Source organism: Homo sapiens, chromosome 20, assembly GCF_000001405.40.
Source record: "Homo sapiens chromosome 20, GRCh38.p14 Primary Assembly".
NCBI lineage: Eukaryota > Metazoa > Chordata > Mammalia > Primates > Hominidae > Homo > Homo sapiens.
This window is the reverse complement of record NC_000020.11, coordinates 38,917,586-38,926,397: the sequence shown is the minus strand read 5'-3', so window position 1 is coordinate 38,926,397 and position 8,812 is coordinate 38,917,586. Positions and strand designations below refer to the sequence as shown.

The window sequence follows — 8,812 nt, the reverse complement described above, 5'->3', positions numbered from 1 at the left end:
GTCCCGCTTTATAGGCAACCTTTGAATCAAACAGGCCCGCGCCATTGGCCGCACCTCCCCGCCTCGGCTCTCCCATTGGCTGCTTTCCTTCCAATAGCGGAGCGAGGCGGGGCGCAAGCCTCTACGGCTCCGCCCCCTGATGCGTTATTGGCTGCGATGCTGGGCTTGCTAAGAGGAATTTAAACTTGCAGGGGCGAGGCGGGCCGCAGAGCAGGGACAGAGCGGGGAGAGCCGAGCTCCTGGCCATCCCAGCGCGCCCCCTGCCGGTCGCCCCGCTGCGCGGCCGTGCAAGGCCAGGGACAGTCAGGCCTAGACAACGAGGAGAGGCAGGTGCCGACTCCCGGAGACTCTGGCCACGCTGCTCCTAGGCTCTCAGTGCTTTGGCATGGCCAACCATATCGCCTTTATCACCTGCCTTTAACCATGTATTCATTCATTCAAAGAATACCGGCTCATCGTATTAGGACTGCTCCTTTGATTACACCCTCGGGTAGTCTTCTCTCATTTCATCGATTTTTGCCTTGTAAAACCCCAACCAACCGTGGTTATACCCTACTTTCCACCTGCACCCCGGCAGCCCTACAGGGCTGAAGAAAAAACAAAAAGAGCGTAACCATGCTTACTGACTGGTCATGTTTTAAATTCATAATCCGTAAGACTGCCTGCTAGGAGGCCGGGCGCGGTGGCTCACGCCTGTAATCCCAGCACTTTAGGAGGCCGAGGAGGGCGGATCACCTAAGGTCAGGCGTTTGAGACTAGCCTGACCAACACGGTGAAACCCCGTCTCTACTAAAAATACAAAAATTAGCCAGGTGTCTTGGTGTACGCCTGTAATCCCAGATACTCGGGAGGCTGAGGCAGGAGAATCACTTGAACGCGGGAGGCGGATGTTGCAGTGAGTCGAGATAGCACCACTGCACTCCAGCCTGGGCGACAAGATCGAAACTCCATCTAAAAACAAAACAAAACAAAACAAAAGCAAACAAACAAAAAAACTGCCTGGTAGGCCGCATTTCCCTCATTCTCTCTACCTTTTCCTCTCTGACAGCTTGTCTTCCATGTCAGCAAGAACACAGAAACAGTAAGAAGGGAACGTCCACGTGCGGCCATCTAGTCTACCTTCCTGTCTGCATCTCTGCCCGTATACTGGGCATTGATGAACTGTGCCTGTGCCCATCCAACCCCAACCCCTCTGCCTGGGCATTTCCAGCCCCTCTACTACTCACCAGCATCGCTCCAGCAATCTTCTTCTTTCTCCTGGAACATCAGCTTCCCTCTTTACCGATTCATTTCTATCAGCCTACAAGCATGCTGAAATATTTTTCATCTTAAAACAACCCTCTCTTGACCCTACATTCCTCTAAAGCTCCCCATCTCACTTCTTATTTTTGCAGCATAGAATCTCAGATGTGGCTGGCCATGGTGACTTACACCTGTAATCCCAGCACTGTGGGAGGCCAAGGGAAGAGGATCACTTGAGCCCAGGAGTTTGAGACCAGCCTGGGCAGCATAGTGAGACCCTGTCTTTACAAAAAAATACAAAAGTTAGCTGGGCATGGTGGTGCGCCTAACTTTTAGTGCATGGCAGTGCTCATGATGGTCCCAGCCAGTGGGAAGGCTGAGGCAAGAGATCACTTGAGCCCAGGAGTTTGCAGCTGTAGTGAACTATGATCACACCACTGCACCCCAGCCTGGGTGACAGAGTAAGACCCTGTCTCAGAAAAAGAAAGAAAGAAAAGAAAAGAAAAGAAACCCTCAAACCAGTTGTCTATACTTGCTGTCTCCAGTTCCCTTCCAGCCCTCTTCAATCAGGCTAAAACCCCCACTGCTTTACCAAAACCTCTTGTCAGGTTCATCATGAGTTCCACAGAGCTAAATCCAACAGTCAATTTTCAGTCGTCATCTTTTTTATGTAAATGAAAAGTGGGTCATAAATGTGAGATGTTACCATTATTATTTAGCAACCAATAACCTTTTTAAATGGATGAATGCCTGCCGCTGTTGAGACGCCTCTCCCTCTCTACCTCTCCTCTCCCCATCCCCATCCCTTTGTGAAGTTTCTCAAGAATAAGTGTGGGGACTTCCATGTGTCCCTGCGCTGGTATCCAGGGTCCGGGAGGCTGCAAGAGAGCACCTTCTTTTTTTTTTTTTTTTTTTTTTTTTTGAGACGGAGTCTTGCCCTGTCACCCAGGCTGGAGTGCAATGGCGTGATCTCGGCTCACTGCAACCTCCGCCTCCAGGGTTCAAACGATTATCCTGCCTCAGCCTCCTGAGTAGCTGGGATTACAGGCTCATGCCACCACACCTGGCCAATTTTCTGCATCTTTAGTAGAGATGGGGTTTCATCACGTTGGCCAGGCTGGTCTCGAACTCCTGACCTTGTGATCCGACACCCTTTTCATCCTCTTTCAAGAAAAACACCAACAAAGTTCTGTGTGGGACAAGGACCAAGGACTGTGGTCTGAGGCTGTGCAACCACATAGCTTCTCTATGCCTTTAATGCTCGAGGTAAAAAATGAGAATGGCCGGGGCCTTAGCTGCTGTATTGCTGTCATAAGGTGAAGTACTTTATAGTATCGTACTTCCCCACAATAAGCACACGAGGGGAAAGAGTGGAATGGGGCAGGGGGAAGAGGACAGGACATGTCAGTTCACTCCAAGAATGGGACAGAGGAGAGGGGCACCCTTGTTACATATAAATGTCATGAGAGGCGGGGCGTGGTGGTTCACGCCTATAATCCCAGCACTTCGGGAGCTCAAGGCGGGAGGATCACTTGAGGTCAGGAGTTGGAGACCAGCCTGGCCAACATGGTGAAACTCTATCTCCACTAAAAATACAAAAAATTAGCTGGACATCACGGCGAGCGCCTGTAATCTCAGCTACTTGGGAAGCTGAGGCAGGAGAATTGCTGGAACCCGGGAGGCAGAGGTTGCAGTGAGCTGAGATCACGCCACTGCACTCCAGACTGGGTGAAAGAGTGAGGCTCCATCTTAAAAAAATAAAAATAAATAAATAAATATCAGGAAAAACTTTGAAAATGTATGGAATAAATATATGCTACTATACGGCCTCATGTTAATTTCAAAGAGATTATTTGACAGAATGAAGGTCATTCCCAACCACCCACCTTTTCTTGAATTCATCAGTTTTCACCATCTCCTAGTCTGGGGAGACATCTGCTCCAGGTCTGAGCCCCCAGAGCTCCCTCTATTTCAGGGGTCTCATGGGAAAGCCCTCTGTGGGAAAGGGGTGGGGTAAGGGGGAAGAGACTAGGAGCTCTCACCCACCCTCTATTCCAGGAACCTCCTCTTTGTGAATTCAAGTCAGCACTGTTCAAGTGAGCTCACAGCAATAATCACTCACACTAGCAGGTGTTATTAAAAGGAATTTAATAATTTTAATTAAAAACTCTTAACAGCGAATTCTGTCACAGGCCTTGGCAGCTGGAAGCAACTCCAGGGACATGTGCCCCCTTTGGGATGTGGCTGAGCCACAGTTTTGGACCCAAGGCCCACCGGTGCCGCGTGGCAAGGGGCTACGTGGAAGTTACCTCAGTACGATATCAAAGATCTGCGAAGATTTTTTTTAAAAAAGTTTTAAATATATTAGACTCTCTTGATTGCCATTTTTACACAAAGCTGCTGATACAGTATACAGAGTTTTAATTTTTTTTCACATAAAATACATTTTTTTAAGTGTTCTCTGTACACCAGTGGCTTCTGGTCTGGTGAATTATTGCGGAGGGCTGGGGGTCTGCAGACTTTTCCTGGGTGTGCAGAGCCAGGCCCCGCACGGTGGCACTTGCAATGCCCATGGGAAGCAGGCCCTCTGGCCAACAAGAGAGACCTGTTGGGGAGAGGGCTATAGCTTCTGGCACAGGGGGTCACTTTTGCAGAGTCATCCACTGACCATTGGAGCCTTTGCTCTTATGTGCCCTGGGGCAGGGGAGACCATCCCCAAGTTACAAATAGCAAGAGTTAAATACAGCTTTTCTGGGCATCTTAAAAGGAGCACCCTTCTTAAAAGTACCCCAGTATCCTGCTCTAGGAGAGAGAGCAGGTAGGTGAGAGAGCTCAGGATGGGAAGGTATCTGACACCAACAACCACAATGGTCTTATGTTATTACAAAGCCAGCAAACCGGTGGGGCAGGACAGGGGACACACCCTTGTTAGCTTTTCTAAGCCCCTTGGAAATGGATTAAACAGTGCAGAGCAGTTTTACTTATGCTGTATATTTGATGGAGAATTCTATCCTGAAGTCTTTAGTAGCCCTGGGCCTAGAGTTTATTCAGCTTCCCCAAGCTACTTGCCAGAAACTCACAGTCTGGTGATAACCGCCAACTTTCAGTTGTTTGGGGCATATGATGGTGAGCCATGCAGCACCTGCTTTGGAAGTGGTCTCCTTTAATCTAATGAGGAGCTGCCATAGGACCTGGGTCTCAGCAGGAGCTAGGCATCTGGTTGACTTTGCCTGGTTACTCCCAGCTCCCGAATCCACCCCTGCCATGGAGGGAGGCAGATTCCCAAGGAAAGGCTTTGATGCTGAAGGAAGCAGCAACTTTTCCTCCCATTATCCATTAGTGGGGTGAGGGGACTATGTAATAAATGAGCCACCATGAGCAAGAAACAATGACTTTAAAAACCTGAGATGCATTTGGCAGCAAATTGCAGAACAGTCTTCTAGACACTGATCTCAAGCTGCTATTATAGAGTCCCCCAAAGATGCTGGCTGAAGGCAGCTATCACTGAAAGTTCCAGATGGACCTGGATGATGTCTGCCTGGAACCCAAGATCCAGCATCTATACTTGGTGGCAAATGTTATCCAGGGGTGACCATGACAGCTGTTCCCAGCTAAAGGAATTCAGACTCTAAGGATTCTAGGAGCCGAAAAGCAAAGGGTCGCTGGACGAAGATGCAGACACTTTGCCTCAGGTGACTTGAATGGGACTGCTGATGCCTGTGGTCCCCAAGGGACGGAAACCACAAGGAACAGTTCTCCTGACTCTGTCTTATTCCTCCTTTATCCGCAGAACCTAACGTAGAGGCTGGCATGTTGCAGCTACTCAGTAAATTACGTGAGTGAATTAATGAATGACCGCGGCTCATTCATTGGAGGTTGGTCTCCAACTTGTCTCTCAACACCCAGGAGACCTACAGGGAAAGCTCCCCAGGGACTTAAAGCCCCAAGAAGGGATGGTTTATCCCTGGCTGAAAACATGAGCCAATGCCTGAGAGTCACCTGTGTGTGAAGTCGGCTCCTGTCAGGGAATCAGCTGGGATTCCCAGCCTTCTGGGTGGAGAGGAATAGCCCAGGAGGCAGGAGGCATGCGGAAAAGGAGGGAATGGCCTCAGGCGCTCAGTGGGTTGGGCAGTACGTGCCTTCAGTGTTTGGCCCCTGAGCAAAAAGATCGGAAAACCTAAACAGCTCTCTCCTGAGGAGCACGCGGCTTCCCTCAGAACTCCCTACCTTGTAGCTAAGGTTGGCTCATGAGGGATTTCAGCGTCAGTCTGGGCTCATACTGTTTTACAGCCAATGGTACGTGTGTTTTAGATCATCCTGTCCTGTTCCAGCCACAGCCTGAGATGTTGAAGAGCCCACCCCAAATGGCAAGGTCGTGGGAAGCATCTGTGCACCTGTCTTCAGCCTCCTGGGCCGCCTCCACCCCTACTCTAGAATACATCTATCCTGGCATTGGGGTGGAGGTGGCCTGATGCTGAGAACCTCTCCCCTTCCAGCAGCCACCAAGGGTGCAGTCACTCCCATGGGCCCTCTACTTTCTGGTCCAGCCAGCTGCCCTGCTCCTGGGAAAGCATCACTCAGGCTCCCTGAAGTCCAGCTCCCTCTCTGGGTTATGGGGCTATGGGGGCCACAGTAGGGGGCTAAGAATGACAAAGAGCAGATCCCATGACCAAAGTTGTGGCACAAGGCGGGGATGGTCTTCCAGTCCCAAGCCCCTAGCCCAGGTGCCCCTCAGGGCAAGTTTCTCATAGACTGAGAAAGAAGAGGGTTAAAAAGAACCCAGATCTGTTCCCCAAATTAAAATCTGGAACTAGGAGACCCCTTCAGAGCTCTAAGGAGGTAGTTTAAGGACAAATAAAAGGCGCACAGAGCAAGGGATAACCTGCAGCTTATCGGGTACACCAAGAGGTTCTGGCTGAGCCTGTGGGCAGTGCCCATGCCATGGGCATCTCCAAAGGGGGTCCTGGGAGACTCAGCAGTGAGGGGAGAACAGCCATTCACAGTCCTCCCTCCCCAGCACCAGGAAGGCTGGGACTATGAAACTGCAGGGCTGGGCAAGACCCAACTCTAGCCCTACCATGGCTCTCCTGAATGCAGGAGGGGATATTGACCACGTGCACCCTGGATTCGCAGACTTGGGGCATCACCACTCCTGCAAGTGCAGGCTGGGAGCCCCTGGGTGAGGCGGGAACTCAAAAGGGCTGACTGGCAAATCTGTCTCACCAAGCATCCCCAAAAAGGCAAAAGCTGGGCCCGGGATCCCGAGCACTGACTCTGCACACATGACTGATGGAGGTGGAAGGGGGTGGGAGGTGGAGGCAGGCTGGCCCCTAATTGCTTGCTCTGACAGCTCAGTCTAAGGAGGGTTGGCTGAGATGGGCTGGGCTGAAACAGTCTGGATATTCACAAAGACCCCAGGGTGCTGGGCTCTGTCGCTGTTAACTAGCGACTGTTTTTTTTAAATTAACTGGCCTCTCTCCCTGGAAAAGCATTCCAATGGAAGCTCCTCACTTAGCTTCATTTTCCCAGCACCAGCCAGTAAAACCCAGTGACCTTGATACGATCCACAAAAAGAAGTGAATTCAGTTACCTCCCTCCCTCTAGGAGTTTTACAGACTAAAGGAATTTTTAAAATCAGATACACTTTGGTAAATACTGACCTTGTCCCCCTCCCACACCCTTCTGCCTTTGACACTTCCATCCAAGAGGAAAACATGATTTGGTTGATTCCAGGAACGAAATTGCCTGGTTTTCCCCCTCCACCCCTGGATGGTCACACAGCTGGCTCCTGGCATGGGCAGAAGTGTGGCTCTCAACAAGGCTGCGGGGAGCAGGTCTGTGTCTATCTCATCTACCCATGTAGATTCCTGGCTCCCTCTGAACACAGCGAGGACTTCTCACCCCTGTCAGGTGTGGCTGGTGGCTCAGACTTTGGGATAACTCTGAGCAGGACTATGGGTCTCAGCTTAGCAGGTCCCCTCCCCTGCTAAAACCACATTGGCAGTGGTAATGAGACTCTGAGTCTTAACTTCCATCCTTTTGGGAATACCCCACAAATTCTAAGCCCCCTTGCTTCCCCTGAGCCCAGGTATGTCATTCCTACACACACTGATCGAGCTTGTGTGTGTGTGTATATGTGTGTGTGTGTGTGTGTTAATGTGACATGCATGTACTGATCCGGAGAAGCCTTTATACCAAGAATAGAGCTGGGATCTCAAGCCCACCCTCCCAAGATCAGACAGCAGAGTGAACCAGGAGGCCACGACAGGCCTTGTGTCAGATGGCAGACGATGCAGCAGGAAGCAGAACCACGGGACGTGGGACATGGGATGCTATGGGCAGCCAGCTGAGGGCTGGGGTCTGAGTTCCTCTGAAAAGCAGAGCCCACCTCTCCCCAGCTGCCCTGACACCTCCCCAGCCAGGGCTGTTGGGCTGGCCTGGATTCCAGGAGCCCCTCCCCAGGCATCTCCCTCCTCCATCACACGGAGACTAGGAGATACGGCAACAGCCATGCACCTTCTCCTCCATCTCCTCTATGGGGGCCTTGAACTTTAAGAGTGGGGGATCTCCGCTGGTGACCGTGTAATATACCGAGGTCCCATTGCTGCTGTACGGTGAAGTTCTGCCTCCGATCAAGGGGGCCTTGCCTTCACTGCTACTCTCGCCCGTCCTGGCCATGCTGCTGCCCAGGTGTGTGCTAAGGAAGGGGTGGCTGAGCAGCTTGGCTGCAGCCCGCTGCCGCTTCAGCTCCAGAAGCGTCTGAGGGCTCTGTTCCTTGTAGCTGCTCCAGGGCGGGGTGGCGTCGGCCACGCCAGGGTTGCCATAGGCCATGCTGTAGTCAGGCACCTCATGCACCTTCCAGACATCCCCGTTGGCCAGCGCATACTGGTAGGCACTGACCGGAGCCCGGAGGCCATTCTCAACAGGCATGTCCAGTTCACCTCGTGGGATCTTGGTAGGAAATTCGGAGAGTAGCACGGGCTTCTCCAGCCTGGGGTTCTGCGAGTGAGAAGGACAACATTACCAGCTGGCTGGAAGATCTGAACCTACTATCCACCTGTCTCTCTGCTGAGGGCATTATTGTTTGGACTTTTCCTCTATCTGTTTTCTCTCCCTGGGTATCGGGGCCAGGGTTTTCCTTTGGGGAACCCCCAATCTATGAATTTCCGTACAGTTGACCGACCCCTGGCCTTGCTCCAGGGCCTGGATCATGACCCAAGGCCTAGCTAGTCAACATATTTCACTACAGGGATTGGCCCAGGGATGAGTTCTTAACTGAAATTGCTTCAGTGAAGCAACCCTGGGACTTTTGCTAGAACAACTGGGAAAGAGAAGTTTCTGTAGGAACTGTGGGTAGTAAGAATGACGTAAGCTGAGGGCTGGGGAGATACTATGTTGAAGGGTCTGCTTGCAAGTAAAGTTGGCATGAAGAAAGGCTAAGAGAGACTGCATCCTGATGACCCATTTGAAGTCCAGGATCCTTCCAGGCTCAGACTTTTCAGTTGCACAAGCCAATAAATTCCTTGTGTGTAAGTCCATTTGAGTTGGGTTTTTCAGTCACTTGTAATCC

At 51.3% G+C, this 8,812-nt stretch overlaps 1 protein-coding gene across 4 annotated transcripts in view, besides 2 other annotated features; it reads right to left on the bottom strand.

The window, feature by feature from the left end:
• Positions 4-363: a silencer, noted in NCBI's record as "silent region_12907". NCBI's record gives its function as "represses an Ori minimal core promoter by ATAC-STARR-seq in GM12878 lymphoblastoid cells {active_cell/tissue: GM12878}" and the evidence as "EXISTENCE:reporter gene assay evidence [ECO:0000049][PMID:35858748]".
• PPP1R16B (protein phosphatase 1 regulatory subunit 16B) overlaps positions 3,374-8,812 on the bottom strand; it is a 117,328-nt gene continuing 111,889 nt past the window's right edge. For all 4 annotated transcript variants that reach the window (NM_015568.4, NM_001172735.3, XM_011528768.4 and 1 more), the window contains one exon: positions 3,374-8,241. In NM_015568.4, the coding sequence (NP_056383.1) occupies positions 7,732-8,241 (510 nt within the window). In that variant the 3' untranslated portion in view covers positions 3,374-7,731. The remainder of the gene's footprint in view (positions 8,242-8,812) is intronic.
• Positions 5,173-6,044: an enhancer, noted in NCBI's record as "H3K4me1 hESC enhancer chr20:37548997-37549868 (GRCh37/hg19 assembly coordinates)". NCBI's record gives its function as "activates a minimal SCP1, AML or CMV promoter by ChIP-STARR-seq in naive H9 embryonic stem cells {active_cell/tissue: H9 hESC(naive)}" and the evidence as "EXISTENCE:reporter gene assay evidence [ECO:0000049][PMID:30033119]".